Genomic DNA, 21,339 nt, shown 5'->3' with positions numbered 1-21,339 from the left:
AACCACACATTTAAGACAACCACTGCTTTCTGGGAAATCAAGGGTACGGGATGGCAACGGTTTTTGGAGACACTCATTCCTGACCAGTGACATGACATGAGGGATTCAATATTTCTCTTGCCTTTGCTCAGATTTCAAAAACCCGTTGAGTATACTTAAATACGACCAATCAGATTTTGCTTTTTTTTAAATCATTTATTGGCAACATAATACGTATGTTTCTGATGACTATAATTGATCAGAATCTGAAGTATAAGTGCTATGGATTGTGTAAAAACTTTATTTCTTGTATATTGATGTTTTACAAGCCCTATGTTTGTGGACCATTACTATTGTTTGTTTGTTTTGTTTTGAGACAGGGTCTCGCTCTGTTACTCAGGCTGGAGTGCAGTGGCACACTGCAGCCTCAACCTCCCGGGCTCAAGCGATCCTCCAATCTCAGCCTCCCAAGTAGCTGGGACTACAGGTGCGTCACCACAGCCTGGCACATTCTTGTATTTTTAGTAGAGACAGGGTTTCACCATGTTGCCCAGGCTGGTCTGGAACTCGTGGGCTGAAGCGATCCACCTGCCTTGGCCTCCCAAAGTGCTGGGATTACAGGTGTGAACCACTGTGCCCGGCCCCATTATTATTTTTTTTAATGCTTAGAATAAGTTTCAGTTGCCTTTATAACCAAATTCTTTATAGATATTACCATTAAAAACCCCAAGAAATGAGGCTGGGCATCGTGGCTCACATTTGTTTTGTTTTGTTTTCAGGAGGGATCCTCTCGCTTCAGCCTTCTGAGTAGCTGGGATTACAGGCGCACGCCACCATGCCTGCCTAATTTTTGTATTTTTAGTAGAGACAGGGTTTCTCCATGTTGCCCAGGCTGGTCTCGAACTCCTGGGCTCAAGTGATCCACCCGCCCTGGCCTCCCAAAGTGCTGGGATTACAGATGTGAACCACCGTGCTGGGCCATGGTTTTTTTTTTTTCAAGGGTAGTGAATATTATCAATTCATTGTTGTTAGTGTTATTAATAAAATATTATTTCAGTCTAGTTGTCTGTGTTACTTAATGGTAATCTTCAAGACTCAGCAGCTTTTCCAAAGAACCTAACCTCACCTCAAATTCATTACTTTTCATCATCTGCACTCAAACATTGTCATAGATTACTTGTTAAATTTTGTATAAGCTTTATCCTTCCAAAACTGAACATTTGTATGTAAGTTTTTATGCGAACACAATGTTTTCATTTCTCTTGGGAGTGGAATTGCTGGATCATTTGATGGAGTGGAATTGCTGGGTCAAGAGATAACTGTATGTTTAACTTTTTGCAGAAATGTCAGTCTGTTTTCCAAAGTGGCTATACCATTTTACCTTCCCACAAATAGTGTATGAGGGTTCTAATTTCTTTATACCCTGCCAACACTTATGATCTGTCTTTTTTATTATAGCAGTGCTAGTGGATGTGGATTGGTATCTCATTGTGGTTGTTGTTTGTTTGTTTGTTTGTTTGAGACAGTCTTGGTGTATCGCCCAGGATGGAGTGCAGTGGTTCGATCTCAGCTCACTGCAACCTCTGCCTCCTGGGTTCAAGCGATTCTCCTGCCTCAGCTTCCCTAGTAGCTGGGATTATAGGCGCCCACCACCATGCCCGTCTAATTTTTGTATTTTTAGTAAGGACGGGGTTTCACCATGTTGTTCAGGCTGGTCTCGAACTCCTGACCTCAGGTGATCCTCCCACCTCGGCCTCCCAAAATGCTGGGATTACAGGTTTGAGCCACTGCGCCTGGCTAATTTTTGTATTTTAGGTAGCAATGGGGTTACACCATGTTGTCCAGGCTGGTCTTGAACTCCTGACCTCAGGTCATCCTCCCACCTCAGTCTCCTAAAATTCTGGGATTACAGGCATGAACCACTGTGCACCTGGCCTCTCATTGTGATTTTGATTGCATTTTCCTGATAGCTAATGATGGTGAGCATCTTTTCATGTGCTCATTATTCATTTGTATATCTTCTTTGAAGAACTGCCTTTTCGGATGCTTTGCCTATTTAAAATTTTTAAAAAACTTTTTGAGTTATAATATTTATATATTCTAGTTGCAAGTTCCTTGTTAGATATATGTCTTGCAAATATTTTCTCCCATTCAGTGAGTTGTCTTTTCACTTTCTTGGTAGTTTCCTTCGAGGCACAAAGTTTTTAATTTTGATGTCGTTTTTCCTTCCCTCCCTCCCTCCTCTCCCTCCCTGTCCTGCCCCCCCCCCATTTCTCTCGTTCTCTCTTTCTCTCTCTCTTTGAGACAAGTTCTTGCTCTGCTGTCCACATTATAGTGTTGTCCACGTTATAGTGCAGTGGTGCAGATACAGCTCACTGTAACCTCTGGCTGCTGGGTTCAAGCCAATCTCCCGCCTTAGCTTCCCAAGTAGCTGAGACCACAGGTGCGTACTACCATGCTGAGCTGATTGAAAAAAAAAATTTCTTTGTAGACATGGCGTCTCACTATATTGCCCAGGCTGGGTCTTACTTATTTTTTAATCTATACTTCATCTTTATTTTTTGCTTTTATTATTATTTTTGTTTGACAAAATCATTGTACATATTTATGGGGTACAGTGTGATTTTTCAGTACATGTATACAATGTATAATGTTCAAATTGGTATTTTTTATTTTATTGCTTTTGGTGTCATATCTGAGAAATTATTGCCAAATCCAAGGTCATAAAGAGTTACTCCTGTCTTTTAAGAGTTTTGTAGTTTTACTTCTTATGTTTAGGTCTATGGTCCATTTTTGGTTAACTTTTGTATATGATATGAGGTAGGGAGTCCAACTTCATTATTTTATCCATTGTCCCAGTGCCATTTGTTGAAAAGAGTATTCTTATACTTCAGTTGAATTGTCTTGGCATCTTTGTTGAAAATCACTTGCCCATGAATGTGAGGGTTTATTTCTGGATTCTCAATTCTATTCTGTTGATCTATATGTCTGTCTTTATGCCAGTACCACACTATCATGATTACTGTTGTTTGGTTTTGAAATTAGGAAAGTGTGAGTCCTCTTACTTTGTTCTTTTTCAATATTGTTTTGGTTATTCTCTGTCTCTTGAGTTTTTCTGTGATTTTAGGATCAGCTTGTCAATTTCTGCAACTAAGTCAGCTGACATTTTGATAGGTATTGCATTGAGTCTGTAGATAATTTGGGGAATACTGACATATTAATATATCTTTCAATTCATAAACATGAGATGTTTTTTCATTTACATCTTGTGCTTTCTTCTAACAGTATTTTATAGTTTTCAGACTATATGTTTTACACATCTTTTGTTAAATTTATTTCTAAGTATTTTATTCTTTTTGATGCTATTGTAAATGGAATTGTTTTTTACATTTATTTTTAAGAGTGTTCTGCCACAGGAAGGGGAACATCACACATTGGGGCTTGTTGTGGGGTGGGGGAAGGGGGGAGGGATAGCATTAGGAGATATACCTAATGTAAATGACAAGTTAATGGGTGCAGCACACCAACATGGCACATGTATACATATGTAACAAACCTGCACGTTGTGCACATGTACCCTAGAACTTAAAGTATAATAAAATATATATATTTAAAAAAAAAAGAGTGTTCTGTCGTGCGCGGTGGCTCACGCCTGTAATCCCAGCCCTTTGGGAGGCCAAGACAGGCGCATCACGAGGTCAGGAGATCGAGACCGTCCTGGCTAACACGGTGAAACCCCATGTCTACTAAAAATAGAAAAAATTAGCCAGGCATAGTGGCGGGTGCCTGTAGTCCCAGCTACTCTGGAGGCTGAGGCAGGAGAATGGTGTGAACCCGGGAGGTGGAGCTTGCAGTGAGCCCAGATCGCGCCACTGCACTCCAGCCTGAGCGACAGAGCGAGACTCCGTCTCAAAAAAAAAAAAAAAAAAAGTGTTCATTGTAAATGTAGTTACCAATTATTTGTTTATATATATTTTTAGCCAGGAAACTACAGCCATCAATTTAAATTTTAATGTATTAATTCTAGCAGAGATCTTCAGAAATAAGTACAACATAATATTTAGAAGTAGAAAAAGCAGTTTTTCTGTTAGTTTTGATTATTTTTGAATACAAATTTAGTTTTAAATTTATGTTGACTTATTGAAATTCTTAAAACTATTTTCATGGATTTATTTCTAATAATTGTGGCAAAGAGGAGATGCTATTTTTCAATGCATAGCTATAAAATCTAGTACTAATGTTTGTTTTTAACACATGTACAGGCTGGGCACGGTGGCTCACGCCTGTAATCCTGGCACTTGGGAGGCCGAGGCGGGCGGGTCACCTGAGGTTCGGAGCTTGAGACCAGCCTGGCCAATATGGTGAAACCCTGTCTCTACTAAAAATACAAAAATTAGCTGGGTGTGGTGGCGGGCGCCTGTAACCCCAGCTACTCGAGAGGCCTGAGGCAGGAGAATCACTTGAACCTGGTAGGCAGAGGTTGCAGAGAGCCGAGATCTCACCACTGCGTTCCAGCCTAGACTCCATCTCAAAAAACAAAAAAACGTGTGTACAGTTCCTTACTTATCTCCTTGCCTTAATTTTCTAACTCCCTGGTTATTTAATATTTAGATTAATGAACTGGGAAACATTATTACTGTAGAAATAAAGGCCCAATGGAATCCCATGTACTTATCACCTAGCTTCATCATTTATCAACTCATGGACCCCACACCTAGATTATTTTGAAGCAAACCCAAGACATACTAGTTTGTCTACAAATTTACGATGTATTTTACAAGACAGGCTTACTCTTTGTAACTGTGTTGTATTGGAACAAAACCTGTTCTAATTGACTTTGCTTTAGAAGGTGGTTAGTTTATTGGGATACAAGGAATCAGTAATTAAAATTTGCTTTTTATTTTTGTTGCACAGGAATCCAGATCTTACATAAGATGGAAGTCTCTCACACTAGATACTGAACATTAAATAGAAAATCTATTTAGTAAAATCTAAGTTGCCATGGAAGAAATACCAGTAAAAGTTGCTGTAAGAATTAGACCTCTGCTTTGCAAAGAAGCTCTTCATAATCATCAAGTTTGTGTGAGAGTTATTCCAAACAGCCAGCAAGTTATCATTGGGAGAGATAGAGTCTTCACTTTTGATTTTGTTTTTGGCAAAAATTCCACTCAAGATGAAGTTTATAACACATGTATAAAGCCCCTAGTGTTGTCACTCATTGAGGGCTATAATGCAACTGTTTTTGCCTATGGACAAACTGGATCTGGGAAGACATACACCATTGGAGGGGGCCATATTGGTAAGATTCTTATACTCTTTGACTTTTATTTGTGACGCTAGAAAGAAGCAAAAATATGACCAATACCTGACACATGGTAGGTGTTTAGCATATTGATTGAATAGTGAAGGAATGAATCATGTAATCAAATGTGATCATAAGATCATCATCTTTGAAAGATTCGTTTTTAAATATTGAAGTTTCATTAAGCAATCTAACTTAGGATTATATTTGCTTGAGGAAAGAAGTTTAAAATAGTTTTCAGTGGTCAGCCCTTGTTATTTTGAACAGAATTTAAAATAGAGATAAATGAGTTAACATGATTAGATTTTGCATTCTTTAACAAGCCAGTTGTAAATATTAAGAGTCCCGCAATCAGGACTTAGGGACCGTAGGAAAAATTTATTATGTAAAGTATCTTTTCTTTTTCATATTCTAGCCAGATTTCTTTTTTAAATTCTGAATATTTTAGGACATAATTTCTCCTGCTTATAATTGTAGTTTGGAAAAGATGGAATCATAGGATCTCATATAGAGCTGAAGGGAACCTTGGAAATCATTTTAGTTAAGTGTCTGGTAATAGAGTGGGGGAATTGACAGCCAAGTCCTCTGTTAAGATTGTTTACTGTATTTATATTTTTCCACTAAAAACAAACTTTTGAGTAGTGCACATATGCATCATTGTCTAAAGTTTTAGTTAGTATTCTCTGTATGAATAGTGGCTCTCAATATTTTTCTATTTTCATATTTCACAAATGTAAAATATATGGCTTTCAGAAACTTTTTTCTCTAGCTGTTCAGATATGAGCTGAAACAATAAAAAAATAAAAAATTTTAAAAAAGAAACTTCTCTCATTAAATGCATGGATGGGAGGTGGCTCAGAGGGTGGTTGTGTAGTTTCAGGAAATCTTTATTGCAAAGATTAAAATGGAGGAGCCTTAAGAAGCCAATACTCTCCAACTAAAAGAAAACAATCTGTATATTCTGCAGGATTAGGAGATCACAGATACTAGATTGTTTCAGCGTCTTACAATAAAAAGAATTCAGTTTTTCTAGTATAAATTGTGGCTTTTCTTTAGGATTGTAGGGTTTTTTTTTTTTTGATTGGCAAATGTTTTATAATCCTAATGATCCATTATGTGCTTTATACCAATAGGAGTTATAAATGTTCAGAAGCTGGTGACTTAATTATAGCTATCTTTTTTTTTTATTATTAAGAGACCATGAGTACTATTTTAATTTTGTAAGGGAAAAAGTTATTGAAGTTATCTATTGTCCTAACATATTTTAATTGCTCTAAAGTTCCCTCTATCAGAAGAAATAGAGGACCATTAAGAACATTTTGGATGGTGTTTTCTTTCTACTTTTTTTAAATTAAAGAAATATTTATTATAAGAAGGATTGCAAGTGTTGCATAAGAAATGAAACAAGTGACAGCTCCTCTCACCCCAAAGAAATAAGTTTGATGCATATTACTCACTTGTGTGGTTTTTTGGGTTTTTGTTTGTTTAATGAGATATTATACCTGTGATTCTGTAACTTTCTTTTTGCATTTAACAATGTAAAATATCATTTCAGACCAGGCGTGGTGGCTCACGCCTGTAATCCCAGCACTTTGGGAGGCCGAGGCAGGCAGATCACTTGAGGCCAGGAGTTTGAGACCAGCCTGGTCAACATGATGAAACCCTGTCTCTACTAAAAATACAAAAATTAGCTGGGCGTCGTGGCACATGCCTCTAATCCCAGCTACTTGGGAGGCTGAGGCAGAGAATCGCTTGAACCTGGGAGGCGGAGGCTACAGTGAGCCAAGATCGTGCCACTGCATTCCAGCCTGGGCAACAGACCAAACTCTGTCTCAAAAAAAAAAAAGTTGGATTTATTTTTTGATGTTTTAGTGAGCATTTTATGTTTCCCAGAATGTCTCTATAGGACACCAATTCTGGGTCAGCTTTTTGGTTATAGACCATGCAAATAATGTTTTCTTTTTACCCCTCCAGTGAATATTTATTGAGCATCTGCAGTGTCTAGGTTACCGTGCTGGGCACTAGGGCAGAATGAAACTCTCTTATTTTAAAATGTATTTTACTTTATTTTAAAAACCTTTTTGTAGAGACAGTCTCACTTTGTTTTTTGTTTTTGATTTTGCTTTCAGATAGGGCCTTGGTCTGTCACCCTGGCTGGAGTGCAGTGGCACAATCACAGCTCACTGCAGCCTCAACCTTCTGGGCTTACGAGATTCTTCCACCTTGGCCTCCTAAGTATCTGGGACTACAGGGACATATCACCACTCCCGACTAATTTTTTTTTTTTTTAATTTTTTGCAGAGACAGGGTTTTGCCATGTTGTCCAGGCTGGTCTTGAACACCTGAGATCAAGTGATCCGCCCTGCCTCAGTCTCCCAAAGTGCTGGGATTACAGGTGTGAACCACCACGCCTGGCTTTATTTTTAAATATGATGCTTATTTAGCTAATATTCATTTTCCTGCTTTTCAGAACGTTGGAATTACCTTTACAAGGTATAGCCTTTTCCAAAAACTTTTGTGTACTCTTTAAATACCATATAATAGCTAAATGAGAGTTGTTGAGGTATAAAACTTTGCAGGTTTTCTTTTGGAAATGGTTTATTTCAGGAATATAAGACTAACATTGCAAATTTTATATTTAAATTATCAAAATACATATTGGAGCTTTATTATAAATATTTGAAATTAAGCTTTTTGATACGTCTTTTAAATTGTGCTTTGTTATCTATAGATGTGGGGAATAACTGAACTATTTCTGGTCAATTATTTATTCTGGATAATCAAGATTGCTTATCTATACTAGAGTTTGAAAGGTTTAGATATTTCCTACAGGCTAGTTCCTATAAGCTCTTAAAAGGGAATCTTCCTTTGTACTGTATTAGAAGAAAACCCACAACTTAACTTTACTTGCCACATGATGGCAGTCTTGCCTCTTAAATTAGGGGAAAGGCAGCCATCAAAGTTGATGGAAACTCGGATTTTCAGAACGATTGTTGCCAAAAACCAGAACTTTGGTAATCTTCAACTTGGAAGCAAGTTGTTTTTAAGTTTCATTTGTAAGTCAACTCTTTGTTGCTTGGAATACATTTTCCATGGAACAATGCTAAAAATGATGGGCAGTTTTCTAAATTAGCCTACAGAAACTTTTAAAGTCTCAGCTTTTCCCTCCACTTATTTTAAATTTATCTCATACACTTTTTTTTTACTATTTTTACAATTGTAATAAAGTACATATAAAGATCACCAAACTTACCATTTTAACTACTTTCAAGTGTAGAGTTCTGCAGCATCAAATATACTAATTGTTAATGCAATAATAACCAGTATTTCCAAAGTTTTCATCACCGAAACAGAAGCTATGTACCCATTAAGCAATAGCTCTCCCCGCATTCTCTGATAATCCCTGATTTACTTTCTGTCTCTTTTAGTTTGCCTATTCTAGGTATTTCATGTAAGTGGAGGCCAGGCGTGGTGGCTCACTTCTGTAATCCCAGTACTTTGGGAGGATCACCTGAGCTCAGGAGTTTGAGATCAGCCTGGGCAACATGGTGAAACCCCATCTCTACTATAAATACAAAAAAACCAGTCAGACGTGGTGGTGTGCGCCTGTAATCCCAGCTACTGGAGGCTGAGGCGGGAGAATCACTTGAACCTGGGAGGCAGAGGCTGCAGTGAGCTGAGATCGTGCCACTGCACTCCAGTGTGGGCAACAGAGCAAGACTCTGTCTCAGAGAACAAAACAAAACCAAACACATAAAAGTGGGCCGGGTGTGGTGGCTCACGCCTGTAAGCTCAGCACTTTGGGAGGTCGAGGCGGGTGGATCATGAGGTCAGAAAATCGAGATCATCCTAGCCAACATGGTGAAACCCCATCTCTACTAAAAATACAAAAATTAGCCATGTGTGGTGGTGGGCGCCTGTAGTGCCAGCTACTCAGGAGGCTGAGGCAGGAGAATCGCTTGAACCCAGGAGGTGGAGGTTGCAGTGAGCCAAGATGGCACCACTGCACTCCTGGGCAACATAGTGAGAGCTTGTCTCTACAAAAGCAACAAAAAAATTAGCTTGATGTGGTGGCACATGCCTGTAGTCCCAGCTACTTCAGAGGCTGAGGTGGGAGGATCGCCTGAGCCCGGGAGGTCAAGGCTGTAGTGAGCCATGATTGTGCCACTGCACTCCAGCCTGGGTGACACAGTGAGACCCTGTCTCAAAAAAGAAAAAGAAAAGAAAAAAAGAAGTGGAATCATACAGTATTTTTCCTTCTGTGTCTAGCTTCTCTCTCTTAGCATGTTATGTCACCTATCAGAACTTCATTCCTTTTTCCAACATTCCATTGTATGTATATACTGTGTTTTATTTATCCATTCTTCTTTTGATGGACATTTGGTTTGCTTCCCCCTTGTAGCTCCTGTAAATAATGTTGCTGTGAACACCGATGTAGAAGTATCTGTTTGAGTCCCTCCTACGCCTATTTGTAAAGCTGCTCTAACTCCTTTTTGAAACAAGTGGGAGCAGAAATAAATGTTTACTCATGATGTTATGGTACCGGTCTGTGTTCTGGTTTGTAGAAGCTGTGGGCTTAGGTAGTGCTGGAGGAGAAGAGGTGTAGAGATGTTTCTTTCCTCATTCTTGAACTGAGGGTCTAGGCCTGGGCATAACTGGCCTTTCTGCACCTGTCTTCTGCACACATTCTCTGTCGCCATCAACTCTGGCTTACGTCCCTGTCTTTTCTTGTTGTCCCTTTCTACTCTCAAGCTCCTTGCACCTTTTCACCCCATCCAGAAATCTCAGAACAGATACACTTGGTGACGTGAAGAAATATGATACAAGAATTTTTTTTAAAAAGCATTCTTGCCAACGTAAATGAATTGTGCTCCAGTGATTGGGATTCCACCCAGACCATAATAAATGATCTAAAGAGAAAGATATTTTAGTGCAAAGGACTGTGAAATAGATTGGTCTTACCTAGGGTCAGTTTCCTGCTTTTTACAGCTCTTTTCTGCTTTAGAAATTATATATCATCTAAAAGCACCAACATTTTTATAACGTGGCTCCCACTAGTAGTAGTGAATATCCAAGAGGTGGAGTGGCTTTGGGCAGGGGAAGCCCTTTGTGTAGAATGATGTTTTATGAGCCAAGGGCCACCTCTCTGGATCTAGTATTTAATGAACAGTGAATTGGGAAAGATTATGTATGTAAGTACGTACGTATGTATGTATGTATGTATGTATGTATGTATTTAGAGAAAGGGTCTTGCTCTGTCACCTAGGCTCTGTCTCCTGGCTCACTGCAACCTCTGTCTCCCAGGCTCAAGTAATCCTCCCTTCTCAGCCTCCTAAGCAGCTGAGACCATAGGCATGCAACACGATGCCCAGCTAATTTTTTGTATTTTTTGTAGACAAGGGGTCTTGCCATGTTGCCCAGGCTTGTCTCAAACTTCTTAGCTCAAGCGGTCCACCCACCTCGGCCTCCCCATGTGCTGGGATTACAGGTGTGAGCCACCACAGTATGGCCTATTTATGGAATAAAATGCCACCCCATATAGTTTTATCATTTATATTAAAATATACATTTCTACCATATCTACCTGCTTTGAAATCCACCTGTGCCACTTAATGTCTGTTTCATTCCTGGGACTTTTCAAATATATTTTCTTATTAAATCTTTTTTTTTTTTTTTTTTGAGACAGTTTCCCTCTGTCGCTCAGGCTGGAGTACAGTGGCACTGTCTCAGCTCACTGCAACCTCCACCTCCCAGCTTCAAGTGATTCTCTTGCCTTAGCCACCCAAATATTTGGGATTACAGGCATGGGCCACCACACCTAGCTAGCTAATTTTTGTATTTTTAGTAGGGACAGGGTTTCACCATGTTTCCCAAGCTGGTCTTGAACTCCTGGGCTCAAGTGATCTGCATGCCTTAGCCTCCCAAAGTCTGGGATTACAGGCATGAGCCACTGCGCTTGGCCTCTTTCAAGTCTTTTCTCAGATGTCACCTTCTGAATGATGCCCACCATGACCTTCCTATTTAAAGTTGCAAGCATCTCTCGGCTGGTAGTTACACTTCTAGTCCCCCTACCCTGCCGTATTTTTTTTCCTCCAGGTACAATTAACACTTTTTAATATGCCATATAATTCACTTATCAGTTATTCTTTTTTGCTATTGTCTGTCTTTAGCAGAATCTCACCAGGGAAGGGATTTCTTTTCTCCCTGTTTTGTTTATTGGTGGATTGCAGAGTCCTAGAAAAGTGCCTGGCACATAGTAGATACTAAATAAATACTTGTTCAATGAATACATGAATAAATTCTTGGTAAGGGGATACATGTGAAAACTGTTACTTGTTAATTTTATAGTTGTGGTTTAAAAGAGTTATAATAGCCTGGTGGTGGGCATCTGTAATCCCAGCTACTCAGGAGGCTGAGGCAGGAGAATTGCTTGAATTTGATAGTCGGAGGTTGCAGTGAGCTGAGATTGCACCACTGCACTCCAGCCTGGGCAACAGAGCAAGACTCCGTCCCCCCGCCAAAAAAAAAAAAAGTTATAATATATAGAAATGTAGTAAAATAAATTAACTATAAATTTGGGGTTGTAGCTTTGCTTTTGTTTTAAGTTCCAGATGTGCTTTCTTTTTCTAAATTTTCAGCTTCAGTTGTGGAGGGCCAAAAGGGTATCATTCCTCGAGCTATTCAAGAAATATTTCAAAGCATCTCTGAACATCCTAGCATTGACTTTAATGTAAAAGTATCTTATATAGAAGTGTACAAGGAAGACCTAAGAGATCTTCTAGAATTGGAGACATCCATGAAGGATCTTCACATCCGAGAAGATGAAAAAGGAAACACAGGTAAAGTAGCACACTTAATCAGTTGCCTTCATTAGCAAACAGACATGCTTTAATGCTTTAATTAAGTTTCTGGATATATTCCAAGGAATCTTTAAAAACAGATGCAGAAGCAAAATGAATTTATTTTTACTTTTAAATTGAACAGCTTTATTATTAATCCCTCTCTCTCTCTTTTTTTTTTTTTTTTTTTGAGATGGAGTTTCGCTCCATCAGCCAGGCTAGAGTGTAGTGGTGCGATCTTGGCTCACTGCAACCTCTACCTCCTGGGTTCAAGTGATTCTCCTGCCTTAGCCTCCCGAGTAGCTGGTATTACAGGTGTGCACCACCATGCCTGGCTAATTTTTGTATTTTTAGTAGAGACGGGATTTCACCATGTTGGTCAGGCTGGTCTCGAACTCCTGACCTCGTGATCCGCCTGCCTCAGCCTCCCAAAGTGCTGGGATTACAGGCGTGAGCCACTGCTCCCAGCCTATTAATCTCTCTTAAATCACTCAGATGAAAAAGTAGTTCAGACTGGTTGGTAAGGTGAAGTTATTAATTTGTAATGCAAGATACTGATTTCCTATCATTGTTTCCCTCTAGACTGACTTCAGATGAGACTGTGATATAGGCTAAATTTGTTTTTGTATCTTTCTTCCTCTCAGCTCTACCATGAGATTGGAGGTGGCTTTTGCTTTAAGTGTTTATCAAAGTTGACCCAGAACTTGCCTTTCTTTTCTTTGATTTTTGTCCCAGCACACATACTTCTTCCTCTTTTTTTAAAGTTGAGAGTTTATATTTTTGTTTTTTGATATTGACATTTACCTGTTTTTTTTTGTTGTGTTCCTCAAGGTCTGACTTTCTGCATTAGTAGCCTGTTAATTTCATTAACCAATACCCATTTGTTGGAAATGGGAGAAGGTTAGAATGGGAGGCTCAAACTGCAAATATTTTAAAGAATAACAATTTATGCTTTTCTGGTTTAAAAGCTAACATGTTCATCATAGAGTATTTTGAAAACAGGAAAGTATAAGGAAGAAAGTTAAAAGATTATCTTTAATCCTAGCGCCTAGAAATACCAACTTCTCTTTTTGGTGGGTTTCCTTCCAGAATTATTTTTCTATGTACATATTATTTATTTATTTATTTATTTATTTATTTATTTATTTATTTATTTATTTTTGAGATGGAGTCTTGCTCTGTCACCCAGGCTGGAGTGCAGTGGCGCGATCTGGGCTCACTGCAAGCTCCGCCTCCCGGGTTCACGCCATTCTCCTGCCTCAGCCTCCCGAGTAGCTGGGACTACAGGCGCCCGCCACCATGTCCAGCTAATTTTTTGTATTTTTAGTAGAGACAGGGTTTCACCGTGTTAGCCAGGATTGTCTTGATCTCCTGACCTCGTGATCCTCCCACCTCGGCCTCCCAAAGTGCTGGGATTACAGGCATGAGCCACCATGCCTGGCCCATATAATTTTTTAAAAATGTATACTTGCAACCCTACGCACAGTTTTGCATTTTAGATTTCACTTAATATTTATATTTTGAATATTTTCACATATGTTTAAATATTTTTCATACTTATGACTCTTCATGTTTATATGGTAATTTGTCTTATGAATGTGTTTATAGTTATTTAATATTCCATTGTTGGACATTTAGGCTGTTTCTAGGTTTTAACTATTATTAATAATATTGCAGTGACTATTCTTTTTTTTTTTTTTTTTTTTTGGAGACAGGGTCTTACCTCTGTCAGCCAGGCTGGAGTGCAGTGGCATAATCACAGCTCACTGCAGCCTAAACCTCATGAGCTCAAGTGATCCTCCTACCTCAGCCTCCCGAGTAGCTGGGACTAACAGGCGCCCGCCACCACGCCTGGCTAATTTTTGTATTTTTTTGTAGAGACGGGGTTTCACCATGTTGCCCAGGCTGGTCTTGAACTCTTGGGCTCAAGAGATCTGCCTGCTTTGGCCTCCCAAAGTGCTAGAATTACAGGGGTGAGCCACCATGCCTGGCCTATTCTTGGATGTCTTCTTCCCCTAAAAACCATATTTAGTGGAACCTTCCTGGAGAACCTGCCAGAGGAGGGAATTTCCTAGCAGTTAGGAAAGTTAGGAAAGTAAGATGGCTTTAGTCATTCAAATAGCAGGCTATAGGAGGCAGCAAATCTTGCATCTTTATAGCCCTGTCCTGGCATTCCTGCATGGTTGAGGAAATTGTATTTGTTTTTGTTTTTTAAGAAGAAACTATATATGGTAGCTTATGGTCTTATTAGATAATTCAGTACAGTTTATCTCTTCTGGATAGAATTCATACTGATGTTTTGAGCTCCTTTATCTTATGGAATACAATTATTGAATGTTTTCATCTTTTATTAAAGAGTTACAAAAATAATACATGCTTCTTTGTAAAATATCAAGCAGGATAGAAGTATATACACTTCACCATCACTCTTGATAAACTTGATCAAAATACTTCATATCTGATATCAATGCTGAAAAAATTTTGGAAGGATGTTACAAATGATCTTAAATTACAGTATGTCTTACATAATGTCCCACTTACAAGTAAAGTGCATTTGTTTGACATATTTCTTTAGAATCTCTGTGTGAAGCAGTGATGTCCATGCTGGCTGCCACACAATTAGTACACGTGGGAAGCTTTTTAAAAATACTGATTTCTGGGTCCTACTTCACAGGGATTCTGATTTAATTGGTCTGAGATGGTACCTGGGCATTGGCACTTTCTTTTTATAAAGCTACCAGGTGATTTGCATCTGGATTCGAGAACCATAGTGCTAACTTATAGCCTAACACTGGAAAAATTTAATGAAAGTTTTACTATGACTTACAGGACTTTAAATGAACTGGGTTGTTTAAAAAGTGTCATGATGGAAATAATGAAACTGAAATGATTATTTTTTAAAGAAATAGTGATGTGACAGTATCTGAGTAAAGAGGAATTATGGCAATATAATTTGAGCATGAAATCAGGAGCTTTTCTTCTCTGATTCAATTCCTAAGTCCACCTACTTCTCTTTGAAATATTTTTGGATATAGGCCGGGTGCGGTGGCTCACGCCTGTAATCCCAGCACTTTGGGAGGCCGAGGCAGGTGGATCACGAGGTCAGGAGATCGAGACCATCCTAGCTAACACAGTGAAACCCCGTCTGTACTAAAAATACAAAAAATTAGCCAGGCGTGGTGGTGGGCGCCTGTAATCCCAGCTACTCAGGAGGCTGAGGCAGGAGAATGGTGTGAACCCGGGAGGCGGAGCTTGCAGTGAGCTGAGATTGCGCCACTGCACTCCAGCCTGGGGACAGAGCGAGACTCCATCTCAAGAAAAAAAAAAAAAGAAATATTTTTGGATATAAACAAATAATGCGGGTAGTAAATGTAGGTTATTTTTAGTTCATTCTGCGATTGAAATAAAAACTTTTTTTTCTTTTTTGAGTATGGTACATTATGGTGTTCAAAGTGTTTTCTTTTAATTGCCATCTCATCTGTTTACCTTGCACTCTGATGCAAGGTAAACAGATACCTGTTTTTAAAATGAATAACCAACTTTATTTATAAACCATACCTATTTTTAAAATGAATAACCAACTTTATTTGTATTGAATTTTTTACTCTTCATTGATTATGACCTCACGATACCAAAAAACATAAAAGCTAAGGATGGCTTGATTATTAACAAAACTGAAAAAAAAAACGAATGCCTTTTAATTGATACTAATTAATTCTTCTAATCTACTGATTAACTTTTTTGAATTATATATTTGATTAATTTATAAAAGATTAATCTAGGCCAGGTGCAGTGGCTCACACCTGTTATCCCAGCACTTTGGGAGGCCAAGGCAGGTGGATCACCTGAGGTCAGGAGTTCAAGACCAGCCTGGCCAACGTGGTGAAACCCCATCTCTACTAAAAATACAAAAAAATTAGCCAGGTGTGGTAGCGCATGCCTGTAATCCCAACTACTCGGGAGGCTAAGGCAGGAGAATCACTTGAACCCGAGGTAGAGGTTGCAGTGAGCCAAGATTGTGACACTGCACTCTAGCCTGGGCAACAGGCCGAGACTCCGTCTCAAGAAAAAAAAAAGGATTAATCTATTAGGCTTTACAAATCAAAAGACTGGAATGAAGGGTTTTTCTTTTGTCAGTCATTTTAAGGAATTGAGTGTGACTCATGACTCAAGATAAACTAGATTGTTTTTTCAAAAAATTGTAGCTTTTAGAATATAAACATCAAAATAAGTGCTGTCTGTTAAAATAGTTTCTTTGGGAGATTATCCAAAATTATTTGATGATGTTGCTGATGTTATTATTATTATCTGAAATGCTGTTGACTTTTTAAAAAAGGGACTATCTTGGCCAGGCTGTTTAGCAAATGGTAACTGTTAACTATACTAGGTTTTGATGAAAACTTGGCTTAAAAACATGTTATTACTATTTTAAGTGATTGTTGGGGCCAAGGAATGCCATGTGGAGAGTGCAGGTGAAGTGATGAGTCTTTTGGAGATGGGGAATGCAGCCAGACATACAGGTACCACTCAAATGAATGAGCACTCCAGCAGATCACATGCAATTTTTACAATCAGCATTTGTCAAGTTCATAAAAATATGGAGGCAGCTGAAGATGGATCATGGTATTCCCCTCGGCATATTGTCTCAAAGTTCCACTTTGTGGATTTGGCAGGATCAGAAAGAGTAACCAAAACGGGGAATACTGGTGAACGGTTCAAAGAATCCATTCAAATCAATAGTGGATTGCTGGCTTTAGGAAATGTAATAAGCGCTCTTGGGGACCCACGCAGGAAGAGTTCACATATTCCATATAGGGATGCTAAAATTACCCGGCTTCTGAAAGATTCTCTGGGAGGCAGTGCTAAGACTGTCATGATCACATGTGTCAGCCCCTCCTCCTCGAATTTTGATGAGTCCTTAAATTCTCTCAAATATGCCAACAGAGCACGGAACATTAGAAACAAACCCACTGTAAACTTCAGCCCCGAGTCAGACCGTATAGATGAAATGGAATTTGAGATTAAATTGCTTCGAGAAGCTTTGCAAAGCCAGCAGGCTGGTGTCAGCCAAACTACCCAGATCAATCGAGAAGGGAGTCCTGATACAAATAGGATTCATTCTCTTGAGGAGCAAGTAGCTCAGCTTCAAGGAGAATGTCTGGGTTACCAGTGTTGTGTAGAAGAAGCCTTTACCTTCCTGGTTGACCTAAAAGATACTGTCAGACTAAACGAAAAGCAGCAACACAAACTGCAGGAGTGGTTTAACATGATCCAAGAGGTCAGGAAGGCTGTCCTCACCTCATTTCGAGGAATCGGAGGCACTGCAAGTCTGGAAGAAGGACCACAGCATGTTACAGTTCTCCAGCTGAAGAGAGAGCTTAAGAAATGCCAGGTACTTAGACATCACTTATTTATTTATTTATTTATTTTATTGATACATAATAGATGTACATATTTTGGGGGTACATGTGTTAACATATTTAGACATTGTTATGGATAACTCTTTTAAGGACTAAATTTATTTGGGCAAGTAAATTCTAAGAGTGATTTTGGAATTTCAGGTTTTTTTAAAAAATGATTTATATATGGAATCCCACTTGCCTCTCTTACTTTGTTCTTTCTACCCTCCCCTTTCCTATTGCTTCCTCCTCACAATTCATACCCTTCTTGGCTCCTCCTCCTTTCTCCTTTGGTTAAAGTGTATTTTAATTTGTTATATTTATTAAATAGAACTTTGTGGACCTGGTTGTCAATTTAGAGACTGAAAATAAACTTGTTTCGGAAATAAAACTTAAGTTATCTTTTACTGAGTTTTTCTCCCTCTCTTGGTCAGTAGTTCTTGAAAGAAAAAAATACTTCATCTCTTGTGTTTGGAGTATAGGTTTTAAAAAAAACCAACAAATTAGCATATTTATTAATGTTTAAGGAATGTAGGTATATACATGTATACATGTTACATGTACGTGTATTGAGTTCAGATTTACATTTCCCCACTTTTCATTCAGAAACTGTTTATTGTGTGAAGATTGTATGTCGTGGGAATAGTGGAGGACAGGACACACCTAGTTACTGCTTGCTTGGGTGGAGTTTGCAAGCTAGTGAGCAAATGAATGGTCCTTCAGTTGTTCCTGAGACAACATGGTTCCCAGCTTCCATGGTTCTGTCCATTTTTCAAAGTAGAAAAACTTAAAAAGATAGCTTTTTAGTTAAAAAGGAAATATAGTTAAGTATATTTCCTTTTTTTTAAGCTCTAAGCTTATTTCTCTATCTAGCTAGACATATTTCCTCAAAGCCTTTTTACATGTAATATTATAAAGAAGGCATTTGTATTATCCTCTGTTACAGCAGTGCTCAAGTTCTCAAACTTTTTGATCACAGGACGACTTCTTTACACTTTTAAAGCGAGATCCCTCAAAGAGCTTTTGTTTATGTGGGTTATATCTGTTGATATTTACTGTGTTAGAATTAAAACTGAAAAAATCTAAGCTATTTATTCATTCAAAACTAACAGTAACCCAATTCCATGTTAATATAAAGGGCATTTTTAATGAAAAATATTCTCTAACAATTTTTTTTTTTTGAGATGGAATCTTGCTCTCTCGCCAGGCTGGAGTGTGGTGGTGTGATCTTGGCTCACTGCAACCTCCGCCTCCCAGGTTGAAGCAATTCTCCTGCCTCAGCCTCCCGAGTATCTGGGACTATAGGCACATGCCACCATCCCCAGCTAATTTTTGTATTTTTAGTAGAGACGGGGTTTCACCATGTTGGCCAGGATGGTCTCCATCTCTTGACCTCATGATCCGCCCGCCTCGGCCTCCCAAAGTGCTGGGATTATAGGCATGAGCCACCGCACCCGGCCAACACACAAAAAAATTTTAGTAAGAGTAGAATTCCTTTACATTTTTGCAAATCTCTTTAACATCTGACCTAATAACAGGCAGTTGGATTTTCTTATCTGCTTCAGTATTCAGTTTGTTGCAATATGTTTTGGTTGAAGTTTGTAAAGAAAATTCAGCCTCATAATTGTATAGTTTGAAGGGAGAAGTATTTCACTGATTTTTTCAGATAATTGTGGATGTTCTTCTTTCCTATTATACCAAACTCAACAAGCAGAAATTTCTAGTTACTTGAAATATGAGATTTGAAACTATCTTGTTACATTAAGATCTATACATTAAAATGTACTAGTCTCAGCCAGCACAGTGGCTTATGCCTGTAATCACAGCACTTTGGGAGGCTGAGGCTGGAGGATTGTTTTGAGCCCAGGAGTTTGAAACCAGTCTGGGAAACAAAATGAGACCCCTGTTTCTACAAAAAATCAAAAAACTAGCCAGGCATGGTGGCATACGCCTGTGGTCCCACCTACTCGGGAGGCTTAGGTGGGAGGATTACTTGAGCCCAGGAGTTCAAGGCTGCAGTGAGCTATGATTGCACCACTGCACTCCAGCCTGGGTGGCAGAGTGAGACCCTGTCTCTAAAAATAAATGAATAAATAAATAATAGCATAAAAACAGGTAAGGTAATACTTTTTAAATCTTTTTTTTAGTTCTTTATTTTTTTTTTTTCTGAAAGGTAATAACTGTCTAGGTAGAGCAGGACCTTCCTCATTAGTATAAGAAACTGGTGGAACAGGAAGTACTGGTAATTGGAAGCTTGAATGTTGGAGTTGGTTTATATAGGAGTTGTGATATATACATATATATACACGTATATATATACGTGTATATATATCACAGTTTCTTTATCCATTCGTTGATTGATAGGCATTTGGTTTGGTTCCACAATTTTGCAATTGCGAATTGTGCTGCTGTAAACATGCGTGTGCAAGTATCTTTTTTGTATAATGACTTCTTTTCTTCTGGGTAGATACCCAGTAGTGTGGGATTGCTGGATCAAATGGTAGTTCTACTTTTAGTCCTTCAAGGAATCTCCACACTGTTGTTCATAGTGGCTGTACTAGTTTACATTCCCACTAGCAGTGTAGAAGTGTTCCCTGATCACCGCATCCACACCAACATCTTATTTAGTGAGATTTTTAAAATGCCAAGCCAATATGTGGAATGAGGCTCTCGACAAATAATTTTCTGTTTATTTCATTTAAAAACTACTTTATTATTTACATATCCCAAATGTACTTAAAAATCGGCAAATTTACTAGAAACCAAAAAGTAAAACTGTTTAATCATTTTTAGACATCTTCAAAATATATCTCTTCATAATGAAAGTGTACAAAATCAGCAAATCTGCTTCATTCAAATGCCCTAATGTATTCTTATAACCCTATATGTCAATTTGGAAAATGTGAGCTCTTTGAGTGATCCACATTAAAATCTCATAGCAGTTCTAGCAAACTTGTAAAAATCTTAGTGAAGGTACTCTAGAACCAAAACAACTAGTTTTTATATACAGGAAGTAAAAATCAGGAAAATCTTCTGTCTTCATGGTAATGAATTCCTGTGTTATAGCAATGGTAGGTTCTCTCAACTCTTTCTGCCTTTCTTAGAAAGAAATCAGAAAAAGTTGAAAATGAAAAAAAATTTATGAGACATCATCAAGCTATAATCAAATCACCATTTTTGTGTTATCATATGGGGTTTCTTGATTATTTTCTGTGGTGAATGTCACTTGTGCTTTCTTTCCCCACTAGTGTGTGCTTGCTGCTGATGAAGTAGTATTTAATCAGAAGGAACTGGAGGTGAAGGAACTGAAGAATCAAGTGCAGATGATGGTACAGGAAAACAAAGGGCATGCTGTATCTTTGAAAGAAGCGCAAAAAGTGAATAGACTGCAGGTAGTTTCTTAATGCATCTAGCTCTGTAGATTTTCTTGAAATAGTACCTAACTAAACACAGTAGCATTTTAAATGATAAATGGGAACTTAAAAAAAGGATGTTCATTTGAAGAGTTCTGAACATAGGCACCTGAAAGAATTATTAGTTTTTCCTTTAAATCTGCTTAAATGGAAACATTTTTATTGTTAGCCTGACTTTGGTTTTAGAAATATAAAGATAATACCCAGGAAATTAATTTATAAATCATATCATGGTTATTTTTCCATACTTTTCCTTCCTGTTGTTTGCCAAGGTATTAGGAAATGCAATATTGTTAGGAGTTGGATGGTAAATACATAATTTAAACTTTAAAATGTATTAAATTATCCTCTTACACCTCGTGAGTGATTTGCTTTTTAACTTTGCTTACATCTTTCAAATTTTCTAT

General features: G+C 38.3%; 1 protein-coding gene across 33 annotated transcripts in view; it reads left to right on the top strand.

Moving 5' to 3' along the window:
* KIF27 (kinesin family member 27) overlaps nucleotides 1-21,339 on the top strand; it is an 87,334-nt gene that overhangs the window by 861 nt on the left and 65,134 nt on the right. For 19 of the 33 annotated variants that reach the window (XR_007061328.1, XM_047423578.1, XM_047423577.1 and 16 more), the window contains 5 exons: nucleotides 360-466; nucleotides 4,894-5,278; nucleotides 11,920-12,120; nucleotides 16,554-17,512; nucleotides 20,768-20,911. Coding sequence is in view for 32 of the 33 variants with exons in the window: in XM_047423578.1 (XP_047279534.1) it covers nucleotides 4,981-5,278; nucleotides 11,920-12,120; nucleotides 16,554-17,512; nucleotides 20,768-20,911 (1,602 nt within the window). In the remaining variant the exon portion in view is untranslated. Of the gene's footprint in view, nucleotides 1-359; nucleotides 467-4,893; nucleotides 5,279-7,582; nucleotides 7,775-11,919; nucleotides 12,121-16,553; nucleotides 17,513-20,767; nucleotides 20,912-21,339 lie in introns of those variants that run through there. The other 14 variants (NM_001271927.3, NM_001271928.3, NM_017576.4 and 11 more) reach the window with 6 other exon arrangements.

This window comes from Homo sapiens, chromosome 9 (genome assembly GCF_000001405.40).
Source record: "Homo sapiens chromosome 9, GRCh38.p14 Primary Assembly".
Lineage (NCBI taxonomy): Eukaryota > Metazoa > Chordata > Mammalia > Primates > Hominidae > Homo > Homo sapiens.
Note: the sequence above shows the minus strand (reverse complement) of the source record. Positions and strands in the feature narration are given on the sequence as shown.